Source organism: Homo sapiens, chromosome 6, assembly GCF_000001405.40.
Source record: "Homo sapiens chromosome 6, GRCh38.p14 Primary Assembly".
Taxonomy (NCBI): Eukaryota; Metazoa; Chordata; class Mammalia; order Primates; family Hominidae; genus Homo; species Homo sapiens.
In genome coordinates, this window is record NC_000006.12 from 73,024,220 (window position 1) to 73,051,130 (window position 26,911).

The 26,911-nt window shown below is 37.5% G+C and overlaps 1 protein-coding gene across 9 annotated transcripts in view, besides 1 other annotated feature; it reads left to right on the top strand.

The window, feature by feature from the left end:
* The window catches only part of KCNQ5 (potassium voltage-gated channel subfamily Q member 5), a 576,790-nt gene that overhangs the window by 402,156 nt on the left and 147,723 nt on the right, over positions 1–26,911 (top strand). For all 9 annotated transcript variants that reach the window (NM_001160133.2, NM_019842.4, NM_001160134.2 and 6 more), the window contains exon 3: positions 17,717–17,843. In NM_001160133.2, the coding sequence (NP_001153605.1) occupies positions 17,717–17,843 (127 nt within the window). The remainder of the gene's footprint in view (positions 1–17,716; positions 17,844–26,911) is intronic.
* Positions 7,980–9,179: an enhancer, noted in NCBI's record as "CDK7 strongly-dependent group 2 enhancer chr6:73741922-73743121 (GRCh37/hg19 assembly coordinates)". NCBI's record gives its function as "activates an origin of replication core promoter dependent on BRD2, BRD4, P300/CBP, MED14 and CDK7 cofactors, with strong dependence on CDK7, by STARR-seq in HCT116 cells {active_cell/tissue: HCT116}" and the evidence as "EXISTENCE:reporter gene assay evidence [ECO:0000049][PMID:35650434]".

A 26,911-nucleotide genomic window follows, 5' to 3' on the forward strand; every position in this document is an offset into this window, starting at 1 on the left:
CAATATAGGAGTTCAACCACTGACACAAGCACCTGCATCATTAGGACAGAATGATTTCAAAGGACAAGGTAATTAAACAAAAAAAAATAACCTTAGGTTACCCACATATGTGAACCTCCCTTGATATGCCATCAACTGAAAGCGATAGATAGATAGATAGATGATAGATAGATAGATAGATAGATAGATAGATAGATAGTTGATAGACAGGTAGATCTCAAAGTTTGGGGTTTGCAGCAGATGAGGGCAGGAAGGCAAAAGAGAAGAATTAATTGCTTGGGAAAATCTCCAAGAAAAAAAAAATTCATCTGAAATGAGGGATTGCTCTTTCTCTTGACTCAGTAATCTTCAGAAATAGAGGAATAAAATAAAATCTTCACATAATTTGACTCTAGCCAGAGCCAGAATTCAGTTTTATGTTTCTTTCAACTGCCAACAACTTTGTTTTAATTATAAGATGGAAATTTCTAACCACTATAGTGACTAGCAGCTTTTTATAAGACTGACATTTCAGATGAACAAAAACATTATTCAAGGAGATTCACTTTCCAACAGACAAAATGTGACCAAAGCAAATAACGACATTCAAGTTGTATGAATCAGGCCCTAGCCTATAAATGTTCAGTGCATTCTGCATGACAATAGTCATCCCACTGCCCACCTTCCCACCAGCACAGTGTCTCTCCTCAATACTCAAAGATTTCAATTAAGTAATAGTATCAATTATAAGCCACATGCTTTTCTTAATATTTTGAACACTCAACATTTGATTGAGAGGCACGGGAAGATAGGTATTATGTCCCTAACTTCCTTATTAATATTCTCACTTCATGGCCACTCCTTTACACGCAGTGCTAAAGTCAGAAAATAAGATAAATTCAAAGTCTCTACTCCCCAGCTTTGGCTTACATGCCAGAAAAAGTGAAAAGTGATCTAATTCTCTCTATTGTCATATTCTAAAGACATCCGAGCCAGACATTTGTCAAAATTGGAGAAAAGGATGGCAATTTTACCAAAACTGTTGCAACATAATTGATGCTCTAGATTTTCCAGCAAGAAGAAATTGAGCAGCTGAACAAGATAAGCAAGCATTCTACAAACTTATAAATAAAAACACTTCAGCCGGGAGAGGTGGCTCACGCCTGTAATCCCAGAACTTTGGGAGGCTGAGGTGGGCGGATCACCTGAAGTCAGGAGTTCAAAAAAAGCCTGCCTAACATGGCGAAACCCCATCTCTACTAAAAATACAAAAAAATTAGCTGGGCATGGTGGCACACACTTGTAATCCCAGCTACTCAGGAGGCTGAGGCAGGAGAATCACTTGAGCCGGGAGGCAAAGGTTGCAGTGAGCCGAGATTGCACCACTGTACTCCAGCCTGGGCGACAAGAGCAAAACTCCATCTCAAAAAAAAAAAAAAAAAAAAAAAAAAAAAAAAAAAATTCAAGTGTTCCGAATTCCCATTTAAATGTATTTTGGAAAGTATATAAAAATCAAATATAAGATGGTTCTTCCCATATCTGCTGTTTTTCTTTCCTTTATTGCCAGTAAACAATACCAAATCTCACATTGTTTCTCATCTCCTCAAAGACATTCTTGGAAACTTGTCCGTTCATGGCCACGTTGAGGACCAGGGCTGAGTAGCTGTGGGTTGGCACTTGGCAGTGAGCAGAATAGTATTCACTTGAAAGTTCTCATAATTATGGAAAATCGTCTAATGAGGATATGATATATTTATATTTTCAAGCTTCTGCTTTTAGCATGCATCAGGGAATGCCTTGTTCTTAGCTTAGATTCTCATTCCTATTCCCTTGCCTAGAATAGACACACTTATGAGTCTTGTCCCAGTTTCCATGCCCTGATCCTCGGATCATCTCCAGGTGCCCAGTTCCTTTCAGAAGGATCTTCTGTCTCTACCAAAACCTGGTGAGGGATGAGAGCAGCTGTGGTCAGAGCACAAATCCAAACTTCTGCCCAAGGCCTTTGTCCTGGAATGTACTCCCCATTTCTTGCAGAGTAAAAGCCAAAGTTCTTACAGTGACCTAAAAACTATGTAGGGACACAGTCTAGTCAGCCATTCCCAGATATCCTCACCTCCTATCCCTCTCCTTTTACCCAGTCTACTTCAGCCAGCCCGGTCTCCTTGTTCCTCATTCACACTCAGAGTTTTTGCACCAACTGATCCTTCTGTCTCGAAACTTCTTTCATCAGATATCTGCTTGACTCCCTTAATAACTTAGAGTTTGCTCCAAAAGGCCTACCCTGCTCCTATTTAAAGCTGGAAACCTTCCATCTCTTCCCAGCACCTTCATCCTCTTTTATCACTCTCTATAGCACTTATCTTCCAATGCTCTATCTTTCTGTATCCCAATGTACTTGTTCATTATATTATCTGCTTGCTTCCACTAGAAACATCAAATGGACATGGATATGTTTACTCTGTTCAGTTCTGTATTCCAGCATTTAGAAGAGCACCTGGCTCAGCAAATATTTAATGAGTGGGCTTATTTTATTTAACAGAGTTAAAGCGATTTCTGTGTATCAGGCACTGTTCTAAGCACTGTAAAAATATTAATTCATTTAAAGTCTGGTGACAACCCTATTAAGAATGGATTTTTCATTCCAATTTTATAGAAAAAAAAAACTGAGGCACAGAGAGGTTAAGTTAAATTGCACACATTCCATAAATGGCAGACCCCTCCATGCTTCTATCCCCTGGGCTCTGCTGAATGAATGAATGAGACATAGTGGAAACCACCTTTTCTGCACTTTGTTCTGAGCGTCCCACTCTGACCAAATTAATGATCCCAGTGTTTGACATTGACCCATTGAAGTCAATGTGCTGGCCCTTTGCTTCCCCAAAACTTGTAGCTTATTAGTTATTTAGAAGCCAGTATCAAGGAGAAAGAGGCAAGTAGGCCTTATCTACTGGGATAGGTCTACCTTTTAGTAGAAGTATGAAAAGGATCAAAACAGAATATGCAAATACAGATCAAGGAACTAGTGAAGATAGGGCTGTGGAAATGAATCTCAAGCCCCTTGGATCAGCAGTAGACCCTTCCTTCTGGTCCAGCTTGTCATGCTTTGCTAGGCTAAGGGCTGCCTCCACAGATTGCAGGAACCTGGAACTTACCTGTGGGACAGACCGACACGTATTTGCATAGTAATTTGTACAGCTAGCTGTAGCTTATTGGAATGATTACTTCAATGTTTGGGAAACATTTAAGATGATTGAAAGGGGGTAATTAGCATTTGGGAGGAGGCATATCTCCTATCAATTTTCCTTTGAGTCGATACTTAGAGAATCTCTGCTAACAAACTGTTGCCAAATAAAGATCCTGCTGGGTTTTCTTTAATTAATGAGATGGCTTGATTGTAATTATTCCATTAATTGTTTAAATGCAAATAAGTGCTATTAAGGGTCTTGAAAAGTGTTTCCTCTTAACTATGCTAAATCTTCCCCCTTGTCCTCTCATTTCTGTTCTGAATTTGCCTAGTATATCCTCTTTTAATAAATAATACAAAAATAAGCATCAACCAAACTCTAGTGGTATAATCACAAATTCTGAATTAATGGAGTCTGAATAGAAGTGATGAATTGTATTAGTGTTCTGGAAGAAGATAAGATTCCACTGAATCCATATTTACCATGCAAACAAGCAGGGTAATAAAACAGAAGAAGTTGTAAAAATGGGAACTTTCAACAGTGTAAACAATTTATAGTCTCTGATGAGATACCAATCTTGGATATATAAACCTAGTCTTTGAATACTGTACTTTCAGTGACTCTAGATACTCTTTATTATGGGGGAAAAAAATTCTTGCCTTAATACAATTCTATTCCCTGCCTGCCAAGATATGGGGCTGGGGGATACTGTACTTTCAGTGACTTTAGAAACTCTTTATTATGGGGGAAAAATGCTTGCTTTAATACAATTCTATTCCCTGCTTGCCAAAATATGGAGCAGCAGAGTCTCCCCAGCTCCCACACCTGCAGAGAGATTCTTGGGGCTTCACCACGGCAAGACGGTGTGAACAACACAGCTGCATAGTCAGGCTACCTGTAGGGAGGTGTGAGAGCATTTCCTCCCTCGAGGCTTCATGGCTGGCCTGGAATGTAAGCACGGATGAAAAAGGGGATGCAAACGAGAGAGGCAAGAGTTGTTTCCTTTACAGCTTAGGAAATTTTTCAGAGCTCTCCTTGTTTCAAGAGGAGAATCCACTGCTGTGGGTTCCTTGTTCCTTTTTCCTTCAGCCCAGCCACCCCGTTCACTCTGACCCAGGCTGTAAATTTACTTCCTGTGCACGTTGCTCTAGGACTTCTTTTATCTAGATTTTACAAAAGGTCAACTTGACACCGCTCTATCACTTTACATCTATTCAGGCATGCCATGCTGCTTAGGAAAGAGTAAGAAGTGCACTTTCTCTCTCCAATACATTCTTTTCTGGGCAGACTCTTAGTTCTGAATAGACAGTTATTTTTGCCCAGAGCTTATTTCTTGTTAATGTCCTGTAAATTCAATATATGGGTCTATATTTCCATGGCTTTGGTCACTAGTTGTGTACAGGATGCTTTATTAGTTAAAATTGTGAATCAGTCCTCTCATATATCATTAAAGTACTACCATGGTCTCCAAATCAAGTGTCGTGTTGCCAGGTAGGAATAAGTCTACAACCAAATAAAGGAGCAGGAGAGTAGAGGAGGGTTTCAAGTTACTGTGGCAGATCAGTTCCCTCCTATACTAAGTGATTTTCCAAATCAATTCAAGCAATGGCAATTCATCCTGCTGTGGATAGAGGCCGTCACCCATCAGAGGTTGTTTGGTAAGTGTGTGTGCATAATGGGTGGCAAGCAGGCAGTGATGTATTAATTAAGACATATTGATGATGTGAGCAGAGGTGTATGACAGCAATAATATTCCAAACACTACTGTGGGCAAATAAGAGTGATGGCTTATGTACAGTAGGAGTCATCTCTATCAGAGATAAAAGTTACACTTGGCAAGCAAGGCATTTTCTCTCCAGCAGGGAAACTTTAGAAAAACAAATGGGAATCAGAATGTAGCTTGGTAAATAACACAACAGAGAAACGGATTGTGACAGAAACAAAGGATACTCCCATGAATTCCTGGATTCAGCTGTCAGGATAATTCACCATTAAATCTAACTGCTAAATATTTGCCATGTGCTATGTGTTATGCTTAGGGAGCATTAAAAAAAATGCATTCTAAAACACTTGGAAATTGCCCAGGTAGTTCTCTTGTTTTTATCCTCAACTCAGTTTTTTTTTTTAAGCCGGTATAGAAACATATTGATTCTTAATCTATTGTTTAATGGTTCAATTGAACAACAAGCAGAAGAGATTATTAAATTAGTTCAAGATTATCTCTGATCAGGCCCTTCATCTTACTCAATTTAAAAGTATACTTGATTTGGCCGGGCGCGGTGGCTCACGCTTGTAATCCCAGCACTTTGGGAGGCCGAGGCAGGTGGATCACGAGGTCAGGAGATCGAGACCATCCTGCCTAACACGGTGAAACCCCGCCTCTACTAAAAATACAAAAAATTAGCTGGGCGTAGCTACTCAGGAGGCTGAGGCAGGAGAATGGCGTGAACCTGGGAGGCGGAGCTTGCAGTGAGCCGAGATTGCGTCACTGCACTCCAGCGACAGAGCCAGACTCCGTCTCAAAAAAAAAAAAAAAAAAAAAAGAGTATACTTGATTTATGGCATGAGTGGTCTTGAATGATTTTGATGGATGACTGGAAACAATTAGAGATATAAATAAATAGCACAGAATCATGACAGATTTCATGAAGAATACACTGTGAAGATTCACATGGTTAATAACATTGAAATTATTAAAATAAAAGAGACTGCATATATTAGATTTTTCTTTGTGATCTAGTTGTTCAAAGCAGCAGAAAACTTTAAATTTTCCTTAATTTTGAAAGTGTGATTAATGGAATATTGTTACAATGCCATTGATTTATATACTTTGAGGATAGTTAACTTCTTTATGTTTATTAGAAATTGCACTGAGAGCTAATATGCAGTTTCTATTGGTGGTGATATGTTCTGTTAACAGGGCCTCCTGTCAGTTTTTATTCTGAGATTTCTGCCTTTCCTGTTCTTTTGCATGAGCCTAACTGACTGAGTTTCAATATCAAGTTCTGAAAGCAAGTGAGCATACTAGTGTGCATGCAATGTGCACAGAAAGATGTGTTTTCCTACCTCTCAAAGCTCACCAAAGGATATTACTCATATTGCCACAAAGTACATTTACACCAATAACACATACTTTGGTAATGGGAAAAATAAATAATCTTAGGTAATAAAATGCACTTTGGTGCTTATAAAGGAAAATAATCATCATAGGTAGAAGAGGAGGAAGGCAAGACTAGGTTTTGATTCAAAATGTTTTCTGTTTTGCTAGGAAGTCTAGAAGGAATTTGGTCAAATGACCTGAGGAGGCAAGGAGATTTCTCCCAGTGGCACATGGCAGTCCACAAGAAGACTAGGGGCAGGGAAACAAAGCAAGATTGTATCTGATTTCTACAGGACTCCAACACTACCCTGCCAATACCCTTTTCTCCTCTGAAAGCCATGATCCCAAAGGTTTCCATTTCTTCCGGGTTTTTCACATTCTACCAACAAGCAGAATGTCTTCCCCACTGACAGCTCAACAGTTGAGCTTTTCGGGGTTCTACCCCTTCATCAACACAGCCTTTGCTTTCCTGGTTACTGAGTAAATAAAACACACTGGCCACTTCTGCTTAGCCTTCAGGAGCCACTCTGGCTCCACCCTGAAGTTCCATTTCCTCCAAGAACTAAGACATTTGGAGATTCTGCCTAAAATATGCTTAAATAAAAGGGATAAACTGTCTCTCACTTTCTTTCCCCCACAGCTTGTCTTAAGAACAACGGTGTAACCATTAGTGAAAAATCCTTTCAGGCTAGTAAAATGTAAAAAGAGAAGAGGTATCGGGTAACAACAAATGAAAATAAAATCATTCAGTGGTAGAAACCATAGGAGTGAAATTAGGTAGTTACTGTCCTCCAGCTTACATTAATCAAAATAAGCCCACACTGTCACTAAGACATCTTGCAGTAAGAAGCCATTCACCCTCTCATTGCAATTAGTGTCATAAAGCTGAATAGACAGGTCAGAAATGAAAATCATAGGCCAATTAAGTTATTCTCATTTTTCCACCTCCAGCTAGCTCTTTTTGAGAATTTTGATTTTAATAGATAATAAAACAGTATGCTAATTGGGTGGTGCTGAGCCTGAAGCCGTGAACTGAAGGAAACTTCAACAAACATTTGGCTAGGGCCTGCTCTAAGCAGAGGGGCTACGACAATGGGTAAGGCATTTCTCTAGAAACCAGCACTCAGCAGAATTTCTGGCACGAGATTTTGTGAGTTTTCTAGTGGTGTGTCTTATCTTCCCCCAATAGATTATAAACTCCTCGAGGGTGACAGAACACATTGCTGATCTTTATATCCTGCATGTTTATGGTATTCGGTAGACATTTATAAAATGAATTCATGAAAAGCAGAACATCTAGAAATGAAGTCAACATTGCAGAGAAGTTAGCTATATGAAACTCTGTAAATACCCTCAAGGAAGAAGGAAGAAGCAGATTTTCTGGAAATCAAGGGACCTCCCAGTATAAGAGCAATTCCTTTGGTCCAAAGAAGGGCAGCTATAAGAACAGAGACATAACTCCTCCGTAAGAAAAGATAAAAATTCTGAAAGTTCTCTAAGAACATGCCCAGCCCTGACCTGCCTCTCACTCTCAGTAGCATGGAAGCCGTACTATCTCTTATCTTGACACAAGCATCCACTTCAATCCACAGGACAAATATCACCAATATGAGAAGATAAGATCTGTTTTATAGTCAACTTGGCTGACATGTACTAATTTCTCAAGGTCAGGATAGCTCTCTAAATAGAAATACTTGTTTGTTTTAAGGAATTTTATTTAAATTTGTGTATCTTAAATTTTAATTTTGATCTCGGCTCACTGCAACCTCCACCTCCCAGGTTCAAGCAATTCTCCTGCCTCAGCCTCCTGAGTAGCTGGGATTACAGGCACCTGTCACCATGCCTGGCCAATTTTTGTATTTTTAGTAGAGACCGGATTTCACCATGTTAACCAGGCTGGTCTCAAACTCCTGACCTCAAGTGATCTGCTTACCAAGGTCTCCCAGAGTGCTGAGATTATGGGCATGAACCACTGCTCCCAGCCTCATGTAGTTCTTAAGAGGAAGAAAAGCCTATAGATTAGTGAGAAGTAGACAAATTAGCAATTTGAATCAAATGAAAACTTGGTTTGATTTCATTCATTTTGGAGACACTTTCGGTGTTTCCATTTTGATCTGATTCAGGACATTGATCTTCGATTCTAAGTTGCACTGGTTAATTTGTGATTATTTTACAAAATCATAACAGAATACATATCTGGGTCCAGTTCAAGGTACAGCAAGCCATTTTCAATGTTTCCAGCTTGGTGTTTATGATTCATACATGAATCATTTGGGCATGCAGACACACCCAAATAGAAACCTCAAACCAATTAAGGTATAAATAGGTTTAGGATGGGGGAGGATGGACAACAAAAAAAACCTCAGTAAGGCTCCTCCACAAAGGGCACCACTTCAGCTTGGTCCCATGGGCAGACTTCACCTGTGGCAGGTGAAGGGGAAAGCCTAAGACATCCTGTGCCCTGATGCAGATGTGACTTACAGAACATAAAACGTAAAGGCAGAAGGGATCATCTGGGTGGCTGCTCATACTAGGCAGGCATTATAGCTGCTGACAAGAGCCAACCCATCCCTAAGGATCTAAAATCACTACAAGAGAGGACGGAAGTCCTCTCATCATGGCATCCCAACTAGTAACTGGGATGCATAGGGCCACTCCAGGTAGGCAGCGAGGGGTAAACCAGGAATGTCCTGCTGTTCCCACCTCTTTTCCCCAAGCAGGGGGCACCCACTTCCTGCCTCCAGCCCATATGGTCTCAATTTATGGCCTCAATACCTGATAAAAAACCAGCCGTGATCCTTCCTTAGTAACAAAGTGTCAATCAGTCATTTGGAATGGGGCATTTTCAAACTATTGCCTCCCTATGATCTTCTGAAGAACCTCTGGGATAAATGAACATTGTTATTTAGGTATGGTTAAATGAATTACTTTTCAGGAGCAGATTTATATATTAACAGGTGTGAAAAACTTGAATGGATAAATCATTTATAAAGAAATTTCAGGAATCAACTAATCCCAAGGGGAAAGACCCACTAAGACACTAGATTTTGCTGGAGCTACTCAAACAAATTCATCTATCATATCTACCTAAGCCTTCCAATCAATGAGACTAGCCGCAGTGACACTGTCTGTCAAAACTACCTCAGTCATTTTTTTCCAAGGCAGGAAGCATCCATACCCCTTCACACCTTAATCTAATTTCCCCTATCTCCACCCCACTCCCACTTCTATGACCCCCTTCCCCCCATACCCACCCCCGAAGCATCTACTAGCCAACTTAGTGAAGTTCTGTCACGCTCTCACAACCACCTCTGTGCAGCAATGATTCTGTAAATATCCATGTGTCCTCAACACCAGGTCAAATTAGTCCCTTTGGTAAAAACATTCATTCCCTCAAATTCTCTTCCAATACACTAATATACCTTCCCAAAAAGTAAGGAGAAGCTTGAAAGCTAGCTGGATTGATGATGGTATGTGATGTTCTATAAGTTATAGTTAGTAAGCATGTTTTTAGGATATTTTTCTGCTCTCCAAAGAGACACAATTCCGGAAGATATTTACTTTTGTGTATTTCCACATTTTGGTTTAAGTTTGGAGCCATCTCTAGATCTTAATTTCATTCCCCTAATATGTGTTATACTAGTAGAATTTTCCAAATTACATAGAATTATAACTGCAACTCTTCTGACTGATGCCTTTTTTTTGCATTTTATGATGCAGTTTACATCACAAATTCTTTCCCTGCAGGGATTATGTAAAGAGGCATGTTGACCTGCTAGCCCTATGTTACTTTAAGTATATGCACACACACAAAAAGGAACAAAAACAGCTGGGAATTGATTATGTTGATATTCTGAATAAAAGCAATAGTTCTAATTATGTATGTCTAATTAGCCACAGCTCTTCAAGAATTGCTGCAAATGTCACAGGGTTTATAATGTCGGCATTTCATCTTCACGAAAATGCTATTTGATGGCATAAAACCAGAAAAAACTAATGGTCACAGAAGACAGCTTGTAGATTAGACAAAGGTCACTGTGTTTTAATGAACAGTGCTGTTAATTAATGAGAAAACAACTGGTACATGAGCTTTTAAGCATTGTGAATTTGTACCCAAAAAATCAATCTGCCTAAAACAATTTTAAGTAGCTAAAAAACAAAATAACGGCAAGAACATAATTTAAACCTCAAATGGTACAGCAGAGTTATATGTATCAATTAAATTGAATCACAGTTCTCAGGTGTGACATATGAAGAGGCTTCTTTAATGCCTGGAAAAGAGGGTTAATATGGATTGGTATTCTCAATACATATTGTAGATAAAATTCAAGACTAGCTCTACCACTGCCTCTTTTCTTTTTTTTTTTTTTTTTTTTTTTTGAGACAGTATCTCGCTCTGTTGCCCAAGCTGGAGTGCAGTGGCATGATCTCGGCTCACTGCAAGCTCCGCCTCCCGGGTTCACGCCATTCTCCTGCCTCAGCCTCCTGAGTAGCTGGGACTACAGGCGCCCGCCACCACACCCAGCTAATTTTTTGTATTTTTAGTAGAGACGGGGTTTCACCTTATTAGCCAGGATGGTCTCGATCTCCTGACCTCGTGACCCACCCGCCTCGGCTTCCGAAAGCGCTGGGATTACAGGTGTGAACCACCGCGCCCGGCCACCACTGCCTCTTAGGCTTCTTAATTTCCTTATCATTTAAGAAGAATAAGAAAATTCTTCTATGTTTTACCAAAATTCTGTGAGGACAAATGAGGAACCATTGTAACTCCTACAAGGTGAGTGATAAAAATAATACACATTTATTGTCTTTGCTTTTGTAAAGAGTTATCCAAGCCAAGCTTCTAGGGGCTTAAATAAGGAAGGACAGGACCATTGTTAATAACATCAAGTTTCCACTACAGCTTTCCTCCAAACAAGTCAAATATTCTGAATATTATTCACTAATCTCTTTAGCTGCCATTTCAGTAAATAGCGAGCATTTTATTTCAACTAAAACCAAGCAAGAGAAAATGAACTGCTTTATCCTGAGGTACAGCAGCAAAGGCACCAGAACTTGTCTCATGGCTTACCCAGCAAGGGTCAGAAGAACCATCCCTAATTTAAATCATCTCGACTGAATGTAACAGATTTTTGTATTTTCAACTCATATGAAAATAAAACAATGAGACCTCATCCAAAGGGTGATTTAGAGAGTACCTCTAAACAAAACACAGTGAAAATAGACCCAGCATCTGGATTTGAAGAACACATTTCCTCTTACGAGTCTATCCCATTGTCTAGATTGCTGGCAATGGCTTTTTTAAATTTAAATTGTTATTGAGATAATTGTAGATTCACATGCAGTTGTAAGATATAGTAGACATACCCTGTGTATACTTTACCCAATTTCCGCAAAATGTAACATTTTGTAAAACTATAGTATAATATCACAACCAGGATAATAATATTGATACAGCTCACAAATCTCATTCAGATTTCTCCAGTTTTACTTGAATACATTTGTGTGTGTGTGTGTGTGTGTGTGTGTGTGTGTGTGTGTGTGTGTATTGGCTCTGTACAGTTTTATCACTTGCAGAGATTAGTATATCTAAAACAACAATCAAGATATTGGACAGTTCCGGCCGGGCACGGTGGCTCACTCCTGTAATCCCAGCACTTTGGGAGGCCGAGGCAGGCAGATCACGAGGTCAGGAGATCAAGACCATCCTGGCTAACACGGTGAAACCACGTCTCTACTAAAAATGCAAAAAATTAGCTGGGCGTGGTGGTGGGCGCCTGTAGTCCCAGCTACTCGGGAGGCTGAGGCAGGCGAATGGCATTAACCAGGGAGGTGGAGCTTGCAGTGAGCCGAGATCGCACCACTGCACTCCATTCTGGGCAACAGCGCGAGACTCTGTCTCAAAAAAAAAAAAAAAAAAAAAAAAAAAGATATCGGACAGTTCCATTGTCACAAGGATCTCTCAAGTTACCCCTTGCTAACCACATCCACCTTCTCCTTCACACTTGCACACCCCTTCCCTTCTCCAGCCTGACCCCAGCAGCCACTAATCTGTTCTCCATTTCTGAAATGTTTTTATTTCAAAAATGTTATATAAATGGAATAATACAGTGTATAACTTTTTAAGACTGACTTTTCTTGCACTCAATATAATTCCCTGGCAATTCATTTATGTTACTCTGTGTATCAATAGTTCATTCATTTTTATTATTGAGTAGCATTCCATGGTATGGAGGCACCAGAGCTTGTTTAACCATCCTCATGGTGAAGGACATCTGGGCTGTTTTTGGGGTCTGGTCATTATGAATACTTCTTCTGTGAACATTCATGTACAGGTTTTTGTACAAACATAAGTTTTCATGTCTCTGACACGAATGCCCAAGAGTACAATTGCTGAGTCATATGGTAACTATATGTCCAGTTTTATAAGAAACGACCATGCTCAGAAGGACCATACTGTTTTACATTCCCATCAGCAGTGTTTGAATGATCCAGCTTCTCCGCATCCTCCCCAGCATTTTGTGTTGTCACTATTTTTTGCCACTATTTTTTATTTTAGCCATTCTGCTAGCTGTGTAGTGATACCATTGCGATCTAATTTGCATTTTTCTGATGGCTAATGATGTCAAATAACTTTTCATGTGCTTCTTTGCCATATGTGTAACTTCTTTTATGTATGTCCTCTTTTATGAATATCCTATTTATACCTTTGCCAATTTTCTAATTGAGTTTTTGGTTTTTTACTGTTGAGTTTTAAGGTTTCTTTACATATTTTAGATATTAGTCCTTTGTCAGATATGTGGTTTACAAACATTTTCTCCCAGTCTATGGCTTGTCTTTTCATCCTTAGTACCTGGGCTCTCACAGAGTAAGTTTTTACTTTTGATGGAGTCCAATTTCTCATTTTTTCCTTTTATAACTTCTGCTTTTGATGTCAAGATTAAGAACTCTTTGCTTAGTCCAAATCCCAAAAATATCTCCATTTTTTTCCTAAAAGTTTTATTATTTTATGTTTAATTTTTAAACCCGTGGTCCATTTTTAAATGATTATCATAAGATAGGAAGTATAGATTAAGGTCCACTTTTTTGCCTATAGATGTCCAATTTTTCCAGCATCATTTGTTGAGGGCCCTTCTTCCTCCATTGAAATGCTTTTGCACCTTTAAAACAAATCAATTGAGCATATTTGTGTGGGTCTAGTTCTGAATTCTCTATTCTGTTCACTGTTCTATATGTCTGTATGTTCCATATGTCTATCCCTCCACCAATCCACAGTCTTGATTACTGGAGCTATAATAGTAGGCTTTAATATCAGGTAAAGTGATTGATCTCGTTTTATTCTTCTTTGTCAGCATTGTTTTAGCTATTCCAGGTCCTGTGCATTTCCATATAAATTTTAAAATAAGTTTGTATCTACCCCCCAAAAAAAACTTTGCTGAGATTTTGACAGGAATTTTATTAGACCTGTAGATCAATTTGGGAAGAATTGACATCTTTGCTATGATCAGTCTTCCAATTCATAAACACGGTATTTCTCCTCACTTATTTAGGTCTTTTCTGATTTCTTTTATCTGCATTTCATAATCTCAATGCACATAAACCGTATGTGTTTTTCTAAGTGGATATTTAAGTTATTTTTATTTGGAATTATTATAAATAATAATTTTGTGTTTCTAATTTTCATTTCCACATGATCATTGTTAGTATAAAGAAATATGATTAATTTTTATATTGATCATACATCGTGCAGCCTTAGTGAACTCACTTGTTTCAAGAGTGTCTTCGTAGATTTCTTGGGATTTTTCTGTAGACCATCATGCCATTTGTAAATAGAGACCATTTTATGTTTACCTTTCCAAACTGCATGTTTTTTTTTTCTTTTATTTGGCTTATTGCAGCAACTATTAATATAACTTACAATACTATGTTGAATAAGAGTGATGAAAGTATACATCTTGGTTGTTCTTAATGTTGGGGAAAAGCATTCAGTCTTTCACTATTAAGTATGATGTTAAGTTTGTTGTAAATGCTATTTATCGAATTAAACTGTTAAACCTCTTTTCCTAACTTGCCAAGAGTTTTTTTTAATCATAAATGGGTGTTGGATTTTGTCAAATGCTATTTCTTCATCAATTTATATGATTTTTTTTTAGCTTTATTATATAATGCATTATATTGATTGATTTCAACCATTGAGCTAGCCTTGCATACCTGGAATAAATCCTACTTGCCTATATATTGACTGATTGACTGTTTGCTAATATTTTGCTGAGGATTTTTTGTGTCTAAGTTTATGATAAATATGGGTATGTAGTTTTTGTTTTGCTTTGTTTTATTGTCTTTGTCTGGTTTTGGTGTCAGGATAATACTGACTTCATAAAATCATTGAGAAAGTTTTTTCTCCTCTATTTTCTGGGAGAAATTGTGTGAAAATGATATATTCTTATTTAAATGTCTGGTTGATTTTGCCAGTGAAACCATTTGACCTGGACATTTCTGTTTGGGGAGATTTTAAACTATGAGTTCAATTGCTTTAGCGGTTATAGGGCTACCTAGATTGTCTATTTCTTCTTTGTTGAGTTTTGGTAGCTTGTAGTTTTAAAGGATTTGGTCCATTTCTTCTAAGTTATCAAGTGTATGTGCGTAAAGTTACCATAGTACTCCTTCATTTTTTCAGTGGCGTAGAATCTATACTGATATCCCCTATTACATTCCTGACATTGGGGATTTTCATCAGCTTTCAAGAAAGAGATTTATCAACTTTATTGATTTTCTCAAGGAACCACTTTTTTGTTTCATGGATTTTCCATATTGTTTTCCTCTTTTCAGTTTCATTAGTTTTTGCTCTTTTCTATGTTATTTCCTTCTATCTGCTTCCTTTGGGTTTATTTTACCCTTCTTTTTCCAATTTCTTGAGGTAGGTACTCAGATTATTAATATGAGAACTTTCTTCATCTATAATGTAAGCATTTAGTGCTATAAATTTTCCTCTCAGCACTGCTTTTACTGCATCCTACATATTTTGTTATGTCATTTTTTTATTTTCATTCAGTTCAATTTTTTAAAAATTTTTGAGACTTTCTCTTTGACCAATGGACTACTGGGAATATTGTTTAATTTCCACATGTTTAGAGATTTGCTTGTTGTCTTTCTGTTATTGATTTCTAGTTTTATTCCATTGTGGCTTGAGAACACATTCTGTCTGATTTTATTCTTTTAAACTTGTTGAAATTTGTTTATGACCCGGAATATAATCTATCTTAATAAATGTGCATGGGTGCTTTTTAAAAATGTGTATTCTGCTGATGTTGGGTGAAATGTCTCATATCAGTCAGATCCTGCAGGTTGAATGTGTTGTTCAAATAGTTCACATACTTGTTAATTTTCATTCTAGTAGTGCTATGCCCATAGTTCTGAGCAAGGATAAGGTGGGTTGATGAAGTTCCCAAATACGACTTAACATTTGTCTATTTTTCCTTTCAGCCCTATTGGTTTTGCTTTATGAATTTTGAGACTGTCTTGTCATTTTCCCCTCACCTTCTTAAAAAAAAAAGCAGCAAGCAATATTTCTGAACAATAGGGCTTGAATAAAGAACTTGTAAATGTACTTTATCCTGCCTTACTGCAGCAGAGGAATAGTGCAGTGACCTTGGCATACCTAAGAACAATGGGCATATATCTGTCATTTGTTAAGAACAATGGACATATTGGTGTCATCTGTTTCCATGAAAAAGAAAAATTACTACACGGTAGTGTTCGGGGGCTCAGGCCACATTTGGGATTTTCTTGGGATCCCTTATAATATGAGTACTCACAACTGGAGTGCCAAATGTCCTGGCATAAGCAGGAATTAGGGGCAGGGATTAAAAAGTGGATCTGCCATTCAACCTAGGTTGGGCACAGGCACAACTACATGGGCATTTTGGGCCTGAGTATGTTTTCCATATTTGGAAAGATGTGCTGGATTAACAAGAAATGATCTGGCACTTTAGATACCTTAATAAATGAACAGACTCAACTACCCAGATATACATTCAAAACCAAAACAAAGCCAAAATCAAACAAAACCTTCGGATTATTAATGAATGTATGTTGACCCTAATTTTGGTTATCTGTGCATAAAGTCATCTTTGAAGGTTTATCCTATAAGTAATTTTGAATAACTGTGAGTAAGCAGTGATGATATTGGGTATTTATTTCCCATCATGAGAAATATTTGTGGATTACTTAGTGCAAAATAAGAGAAGGATAGAATGATATAGCTCTACTAGGCATTTCAAAAGTGCAGCATATCATCACATGCTCTAATTAAAGAAACAGACATTTGCCTGAAATTTGCAACAAAAATGCCACTTTTATAAATTTGGTAACAGTTTTTATCCTGCGAGTAAGAATGGGAGAATGGGGAGTAGGTTAGAATGTTTACTTTCTCTGCTTTGTATTTCTGTGATGTTTGGAAGTTTTAATAAAGACAATATATTACTTTTACAATTAAGCTATTATAACAACAATCTATAAATGTTGTTCTACATTATAAATCTTGAATCAACCCTCGTTTTAAAACAAGAAAGTGAATTATTTTTTAAAGGAAAAACAATTTTGATAAATAAAGTGCCTGTCCCTATAGAGACAGCAAGGTGACTGTGCTAAGCTTGCTCCAGAAATGCTTTCGTTTTACAAATTCCATTTGGTTTTTCATTCTATCATCGACTGTTTAATGAGCCACTCTAGCTGGCCTTTCCCCAGGGTTAACTCACAACTCTTCCTAAATAATCTCAGTCATTTTCCTGGAGCAGGTGTTGTTTTCTAGGCAGCTCTTGCCAAAGGGCAGCATAATAATTAACAAGCTTCAGATCTGGAGGATTCAGGGTCTCATTTCTGGCAAAGGATATGTGTGTCACACTGTAATGCTTTTGAAACTTACTGTTTTATAAGGAGATTTTGACACTGTAACGAAAGAATTCAGTATACTTCGAAATATTTGCTTCTTTTTCTCTAAGAACAACTCTCGAAGATTTAGAGATTATGTCACTCCTTGCAGCAAAATGAAGCTCTATTTTCTGTAAAACTTGCCATTATATTTCAGGATCGCTATTTTATTTCAGATATTTCACATGTTACTGGGTAGCTAAAGTCAGCTACACTATAAATTCCAGACGAGACAGATCCATTATTCAGCCTGCACATTTAGTATTGAAACTGACTCCCAAATTTACGAAGCATTAATGACTTGAAAAGGAATAGCATTCCATGATAGGAAATGCAGACAGTATGAGGTTCAAATGCTGTCCAGATTTAGTTTGATCTGGAGAAAGGAAATGTTCTTAACTTTAGATATTAACAACTAGATCCTTTAGACAAAGTGCCTAAATGTCCAAAAATATGCATAGAGCTTCTTACTGTGGTTTGCTCCATAATGCTTCTCTCTGATATGTCTTATCTGATATTTTAGGAGTTCGTGATGATTGTCGTCTTTGGTTTGGAGTTCATCATTCGAATCTGGTCTGCGGGTTGCTGTTGTCGATATAGAGGATGGCAAGGAAGACTGAGGTTTGCTCGAAAGCCCTTCTGTGTTATAGGTGAATATCAGAGTCTCAGATACCTGGACTATGACACCAACATTCTTGTCTTCTATCTCCTGTTTTGCAATATTTGATTAATATTAAAAGCTAACATCCATGGAGTACTTATCATGGACCGGGCACTCTTGTGTCTTGAAAATGTTGACTCATTTGATGTTGTCTCCACAGCATTATGAGGTAGATATTTTTATTATCCCCATTTTACAGTTGAAGAATTTGAGGCAAAGAGAGACGGAGTTAGTTGCTGAATGTCATACAGCTACTAAGTGGTAGAGCTTGAATTTTAGCCAGGCAATCTGGCTCTAGAATACCCACTTATATCAATTAACTTATATGGAAATACATGTTTCTCCAGTGTTGCCCTAATTTAGGGGAACATTGATTTCAGTGAGTATAAAAAACCCTTTTTGCTCTACAATATGACACCAGTTTATGCTCTGGATCAGCTGGAATAGATAGCCATACATTGGTACTGGTAATGCATATCAATTAACATTCTTCAAGAATGATTATAAGTATGGTTTGCTTAATGCATTGGTAACTGTAGACTGGACAAAGTGCTCTACACTCTGAAATATGAATCCCCCACCCTCCAATCCAAAATACCCAAATACATAGCACATCTCTGCACCTCCCTAGCTGCCATTGTTTCTGAGAGACATCATTCACCTGGGTTCTAGCTTGAAATTGTACTTCCTAATGAAGATGCCATAGAGCATTCTGGAATTAAGATCTAGCATTTCCCAGTAATATTTAAAAGTATTATAAAATGGAAAAGTCTATATATAAAAGCTATTATTATTATTATTTAGTAGCTAAATTTGGCTCTCTTGCTTTTTTGTCTTTCTCACTTCCTAGGCAGCCATTCAAATCCAAATACTGAAAATTCTTGATGAGGCTTATTTATTTCAACTATTTTCAACCTGAAAAAGTAGGTTTTTAATTTACAAAATAGTTTAGGCTATCTTCTACAGCTACCACAGGTTTTCTGTTTTGTTTTAGGAGTCAGGAATTGTTGCGTAATCTTCTCAGTTTCCTCCCTTACTCCTGTTCCCTATGGTGGGGGCAGAGTGGATTTAAGGAAGAAAGTGTATCACCATCCATGGGCACTGTTAAGAAGAATCCTTTATTCCATACTTCTTTCATAGTATGCACATCTCAAAAGTCTCCACTTATTAAACCAGAATTTATGGAAATGTGGCTGTGTGTGAGGCACTGGTGTTACAATAGTGAATCTAGTGGAATTCTCAGTTAAATCTATCTTAAAATACCTTGTTTGGCCCTCACGAATGCAGTCTGTTTGTCTGTCTTCTCCAATAATAGGCTTTACTGCTTTTTGGAAGCCATCATGCTAAGGTATGGAGCAAAGTCGGTGGTAACTCCAAGCCTTGCAGGTTCATAAAGCCCCAAGGCATATTAGTGAAGGCATTAGATTTTTCTCCCTGGAGATGCTTTTTTCTCTCTGAATTCTCTACTCAGGCAGCATTACAAAGGACTGTAACCTGATGTGAAACTACTGCACAACAAGTACTTTCTGTCCCATAAGGGGCCCAAACAAAACAATTCACAAGGCAGATGGTTAGCCAAGATTCACTCAACTTCTACAGGATAAGGTCAGTTCATGGATGACTGGAAAAATGTTTCATTCCAGATTTTAAAACCAATTAAAAATTGGTTTTGTTCCAATTTCAGAAGCAATGCCAATGTATCTCTGGCCTCCATGCGAAAAAGAAAGCTTTTTCCCAGATGTCTGCTGCCTTTTGATAGCTGTTTTCAGCTACGGATACATCAACACATCTTAGTCCTTTAGTCTTTCTCTTCCTGCCTCAGATCCTTGCAGGTCTTGATATAATATGTAGTTCTAAAAATGATGTTATGTTATCTATAATCTTACTTGCCTTTGGATGTATCAATAGTGACCTTAAAAATTTAGTATGATGCCTGGCGCAGTCACTCCTGCCTGTAATCCCAGCCCTTTGGAAGGCTGAGGAAGGCAGATCACTTGAGCCCAGGAGTTTAAGACCAGCCTGGGATGGAAAGACCTGTCTCTACAAAAATTTAAAAATTAGCTGGGCATGGTGGCATACACCTGTAGTCCCAGCTACTCAGAAGGCTGAGACTGGAGGATCATTTGAGCCCAGGAGTTTGAGGCTGCAGTGAGCCATGTTCCTGCCACTACACTCCAGCCTGAGTAAAAAGAGTAAGACCCTGTCTCAAAAAAATACTAGTATGACATGGTTTAGGCATAATTGCAGTTTTGTTAACCCTTCAGACCTTTTCTTTATTTAGATATTTTACCTCTAGGAAATTAATTGCTTTGGAAGAAAATTTCATGGATAAATATATAATGAATCCCCATTAGAACAAAGTCTAGATTTGTACTTACAGTTAGGATAATTATGAATTTTTTAGTCTTTTATTAAATGTACATGTTTGACCCATGGTCCAGCTGAATGGATGTTATAGTGAAGCATGTTCAAATGTGGCTTATCAGTATGAGGTCAGTAAAATTTAACCTACACAAAGGAATCAAACATCACCTTCCTGAAGGCAGCAAGCTGTACCAGATGACTGTTGAGACTATTTCTAGGCCCGTTCAACAGGTTCATAAAAACGCTTGATGTAACTGGTAAAATACTAAAGTGAACACTGTAGTCGCCTTGTTCAACCTAATTTACTGTGACAAAATGAAAAAAGAAATAGCATCTCTTATCTGTCCCTGATAACTGTTCTGAATGGGTGTTTGGAAATATAGCTAAAACCTCCCAAAACTTCATGTATTTGTAAGATTTGATTACTCTGAACATTCCAAGTACACACCCAAATATTTTTAGAAGTGTTGAGCATTCGAGAAAAGAACATAGAAAAGATTGTGGTAGACTGGCTGTGCCTTCAACCTGGGAAATGCTTTCTGTAAGCACACCAATGTTTTTCTTTCCAGTTGGAAATACACTGAAGCTGCTAGAGTGGTCAGCTAACAAGCCCCATGTACTATTGCACCCTATTGACAAAGGCCCAATTGATAGAGGTTTTATGGGCTAATTACTGAAGGTTTTAGCATGTCCCCTTCTGAACTGCCCACCTTCCTTACCCCTGCACTCTAGCCAAAACCAAGAGCATTTCAAAAGCCCACTGATCTCACAAATCCTAAAATCATTACATATTTGTGTTTGGAAAACATATTTTAAACAATTATAACATAAGGGAAGAAATAAATCTATTTAACTTTTTTTAATTAGGTACTTTGTTTCATTACTACTGTACATTGATGTATGTCTGCTTGGTTTTAAGCATTTGCTTTGAAAATTAGTAAAATCTTATCTAGAACATAAAATTCTTCCTCATATCTATGTGTTCAATTTTTATCTCTCCCCTAAGACTCTTCTGTCATAATAACATTCTATAGCTATGAGCACTAATTGCTGTATTGCTGATGTGGATAGTCAAGTGTGTTTTGGGATGACCACCCAAGCTGCCCTTCATTTACCCAGACTGGCTGCTTTATGATTTCTCTATGTGAAAACACAAAACACTCACCCAATAACATCGGCATAAAGAATTTGTGAATAACCTCTAAGACTGATTTCATAGTCATTCTTTTTTCTAGCTTTCATTACTGACCTACCCAAAAATTGCAAATAGACCTAAGGCTGAAACTTGGGTCACAATAATGAGCCTGATGTGTCAGGAAGCCAACAAATTACTTCTCACAGTGGCTTTTTTTAGATTCCTTGGTGACGCTTTCCAAAGGCAGATATAACAGGGCCATATTTTTCAGTCTTGCAGGGAGTCTCAGTGAGAAAATACCAGCCTGTTGTTAGTCTTGGATCTGCATTTGATGCTAAGTGTAAGTTGATTTCTTATTGTTATTTTAACAGTTTATTTTCAGTGTAATTATTTCCACAAGAGGACAAAAGAGGAATAAAATAAAATTTTATTTTATCCTACGTGGATAAAATAAAATTGAAGCCTTTATTAAAATCGACCACATGGCTGAGACTACTCTAATATATCTATGATTTCATCTTATTAAAAGGCAACTTAAGTTGCTAATGTGTTCAAAAGTTAGATCAGACTCCCAAAACTGCCACTGTGTTCTAAATTGATTTTGAGACATCATTTTTCTGTTTCTCTGTCTTCTCTATCTTTTGTTCTAAGAGACTTACTCTTCAATGGCATTATTTTCTATACCTTCTACTCCCTTTTCCCTTTAGTAGAAATTATATTATTTCACTTATTTTCTGTTAGTCATACACTCTTCTGCAACTTATTACTTCTAAGTGTTCAAACTCCCTCAGTGCATGTAGATTCCTTCCATGTGATTAACTGGACCATCTGAGGACAATTAAAACCTGTTGGATTGGCTGATCACAAAACATTAAAACAATTTTAATCCCTCTAGTTAGTAATAGCTGATATTTATTGAGAACTACTATATATTAGGTACTACTTTAAGCACTTTATAAATATGGTCTTATTTAATTCTACATAAGTACTATAATGTCCTTATTTATTTTATTTTATTTTACTTTACTTTATTTTATTCTATTTTATTTTATTTTATTTTATTTTATTTTATTTTATTTTATTTTTTGAGGCAGAGTTTCCCTCTATCACCCAGGCTGGAGTCCAAATGGCATAGTCTCAGCTCACTACAACCTCCGCCTCCTGGGTTCAAGCCATTCTCATGCCTCAGCCTCCCGAGTAGCTGGGACTACAGGCACACGCCACCACACCCAGCTAATTTTTGCATTTTTAGTAGAGATAGGATTTCACCGTGTTGGCCAGGCTGGTCTTGAACTCCTGGCCTCAAGTAATCCACCCGCCTCAGCGTCCCAAAGTGCTGGTATTACAAGTGTGAGCCACCACGCCTGGCCTTTATAATGTCCCATTTTATAGATGAGGAAGTAAGACAAGACTGAAGACTTTATAGATGAGGAAGCAAGACAAACTTAAAAAGATGATAGGTGAAAGAACCTGGATTTATTTCTCATGATTTCACTCTAGAAAAATATACATACCCAACTGGAAAATTGTCTTTACTGTTTATTAGCATTTTAAAATTAAATTTAATTGAACCTTATCTATTGTCATCAACTTGTAAACAGAAGAACATGATACTATTATGCTTATCATTAGTAATTCAAGATCTTTAAAGAAAAGCCAGGCTTTATAGAACATTAATTGCAGTATCAGCCTTAATTATATCAACTAAATTATGTTACCTATTGCTGCTCTCTAACCTGAATGGGAAATTAGGACCTAAAATAGACTTACTTACCTGTATCAAACTTGCATATACTCTTCAGTTGTTGTTATCATGAGGCTCCCTGTGTATTTCCAAATTGGAGACCTCTGGAGAGCAAGTAACATTACTCGCAGGACTACCTTCAAATGTTTTTTAACATTAATAAACTATCGGTAATTTAGATAATTGTTGACCTGGTACACAAACTTGAAAGTTGAACTTACAAGACAGCTTGATTAGCTGATATGGTTGGACCACATGAAGAAAATTTATTTCCGAAGAGGAAAATGAATAAGGATTATTTCCCACTCTTTCTATAAACTTTAGTAGAGCACTATGATATACTGTATTAACATTCTGTACTATCACATGTTACATAAGAAAATTCATTCACAGACAGGGTATTTATTATGTGTCAAACATAATCTTAAGTATAAAGGATACAAAAGCGACTAAAACACGGTCCCTGCCTGTAAGAATAGAATCTCCTGTGCCCTTAGAGAATGGCAAAACTTAAAGGAGGTATACTATAATTATGGTGTTACAGAGCAAAGGTGATGGAAATTGAAGTAGTCCTAGAAAGAAGGCTATGGAATATCATGAGTGATTGTATAAAACAAAGAAGCAAAGGACTACCCCCAGGTTTTCAAATTATGTTTGAGTCATCCACTGAACATTTATACAATTTCTACCATGTCCAAGCATGCTTATGGATGCTGGAGAGGCTGTATGGCACCAAATGGGCAAGGTCTTCCTTCTTATAGAGATAATATTCGTGTGGACGAAGAAAAACAATACACAAATATGTTTTTGAAAAACAAGATAATGTCATCTACAGATAAGCACAATGAAGAAAATAAAACAGAAAGAGTAGAGGCTACCTTAGCTTGGGTGGTCTGAGAAAGTCTTTCTAAGTAGTTGACACTTGAGTTGACCTGAATATTAAGAAGAAGCCAGCCATGAGGAGGTTTAGACACAGATCTTTCCAGGCCAGGGAATAGTAATTGCAAGGATTATTAACACTTGATGAGCTTGGGTTGTACAAGGTGGAGACATAAGGTCTCGTGGCTGGAGCTCAATGAGCAGTGGGGAGAATAGCAGAAGGTGATAGGGGAGACAGGCAGAGGTCACACCCTGAAGGCCATGTAGCCTCTGCTACCCTGAATCAAGGTTCCTTCTAAAGACAGGCCACCAGGCAAAGGTCCTACGGGTTGCTGGCAGGCCTAATATGAATACTATTCAGGTTATGAACAGCAGCATTAATCAGGCAACAAAAAGTATGGCTGTTTAATGCCCTGGGTTTTTTAGTCATGTATGCCTGTTGGAACTTCATATCAGCAATATACAAATTATTACCCATTTATGTTTATAAAAAACATAAACATAAGTTTATAAGGAAATAATCCTCTGAATTTTGTTTCTATATTTCTGCCCTTAGAAACATGAAATTTTACATTGTTTTTTAAAATGTTATTTTTCTATGAGGAACTGGAATTAGAATGTGATGGAAACTTTTTTACAGCCCCAGTGGTATCACCAGTAAGCAGTTCCTAAGATCCTCCTTGCCAAGGGACTCTATTCCATACTCTTAGTTATGATGATTGCAGTGCAGAATTATTTCATTAAAGATTGTTTATTTCTTTTGAGAAATTGTCCCTTTTTGCCTTGAGATGTTATCTGAAACTGTATGATCAATAAGAAGCATTAAACTGTCACTATGGGGTAAATTTTCAAAGTGGTGCCTGCAATTTGCCAGTATGAGTCCCATTAACTTCTGTGGAAGTCCTGCAGTTAAACCCCTGCACATGGCTTTGAAAATGTTCTACAAGTTTGTCTTTGTGGTGCCTTTTTTATTTTTAATAAATATCACAGAGCAACTCAGTGCATAGTTGATTGCAGTATTTAAGAACGTGGATAATGTACTGTGCAGGAGGAGACTTTTAAAATTAGATTTTAAAGCTTCATTTCTATTAAGAGTCACAACAACAATATAAATACATCTTTAGTTCTTCAAAGAGCACCTTTCTATAAAGGAATTTGGAGCTCAATTAGAATATAGAGCTTATAAAGCAGCACCATGTCCCTCTGAGACATTGTTTACTTCACTCTATAGATGGAAAAGTCGAGGCACTGTGAAGTGGGGGTGCTTTGTCCTTAGCCCATAAATCAGCAGTAAAGCTAGGAATAGCATGCTGGCCTCCCAATAGCTCATTGCTCTAAAGCACTGCCTCTTGTTAGAGTCAAATTTAATTATAGTATAATCCGTTTAATCTACATGTGGAGAAATAATGAAGGAGCAGGAAAAATGAATTTCTTAACAGATCAGTGGAAAACCATATTACATAGATTAGCAACTGTCTTTTCAAGATCCGTATTTTCAGCATGTACTAGATGGTATCTGATGCCATGAAAGCAAATATTCTAATTCCACTGGCCAGAACTGGCAAAGAACTTCTTATTTTCCTCACTTTGAAACATAAGTAAAGGGGTTCCACTTGAAAATTAATAAGCCATGTGATATGATTCGATTCCTGTCCCCAAATCTCCCTCCTTCTAGGGGCCATTGTCTAAAGTCTAAAAGAAAACATACCAGGCACAGTGGCTCATGCCTGTAATCCCAGCACTTTAAAGGGAGAGCAAGGTAGGAGGATCACTTGAGCCTAGGAGTTCAAAATCATCAACCTGGGCAACATAATGAGACCCTATCTCTACAAAAAAAACAAACAAAAACAAAAACAAACAAAAAAAACTGTAATAGCTGGGTGTGGTGGAACACACTGGTAGTCTCAGCTACTCAGGAGGCTGATAGGAGAAGGTAACTTCTGCCCAGGAATTCAAGGCTGCAGTGAATTATGATTGCACCACTGTACTGCAGCCTGGGCAACAGAGTAAGACAGAGAGAGAGAGAGACAAAGAGAAAGGAAGGAAGGAAAGAAGGAAGGAGGGAAGGAAGGAAGGAAGGAAGGAAGGAAGGAAGGAAGGAAGGAAGGAAGGAAGGGAGGGAAGAAGGAAGGAAGGGAGGGAGGGAAGGAGGGAGGGAAAGAAAGGAAAGGAAAGAAAATAAATGTAACTATTATAAAAGATGTTCAATGTTTTATTTTGGAATAACTTTAGACTTACTTAGAAGTTGCAAAAATAGTACAGAATTTCCATGTTCAAATGTACTCTTTACCTAACTTTCCCCAAAATATTTTACCTACGTATACTGCAATTATCAAAACCAGGATATGAATACATACTATTAGCTATAGTCTTTATTTGAATTTCACCAGTTTTTACATGCGCTCAATTTTTATATACACTCCTATAAAATTTTCTCACATGTATATATGCATTTAACCACCACCACAATCAAAATACAGAACTTTTCCATCACCCTAAATAAACTTGGAATGATATACTTTGTATTATTCCTTTACAGGTACTCCCTCTCTTCAATCCTAACCTCTGGGAACCACTATATCTGTTCTGTTTCACTGTAATTTTGTCATTTTTATAATGTTATATAAATGAAATTGTAAAGTAGTAATCTTTTGAAATTGGCTTTTTCTTACACAGCATGATGCTCTTGAGATCCATCCAAGTGCATCAATAGTGCATTCCTGTTTATTGCTTAATAGAATTCCATGATCTAGATGTAACACAATTTGTATATTCATTTACCTAATCAAGGTCATTTGGGCTGCTTCTAGTTTTTGGCTATTACAAATAAGGCAGCTATGTACATTCATGTGTAGGTTTGTGTATGAACGTAAGTTTTTATTTCTCTAGGGTCATATAGTGCTAGTTCACCTTTATCAGAAACTGCCAAACTATT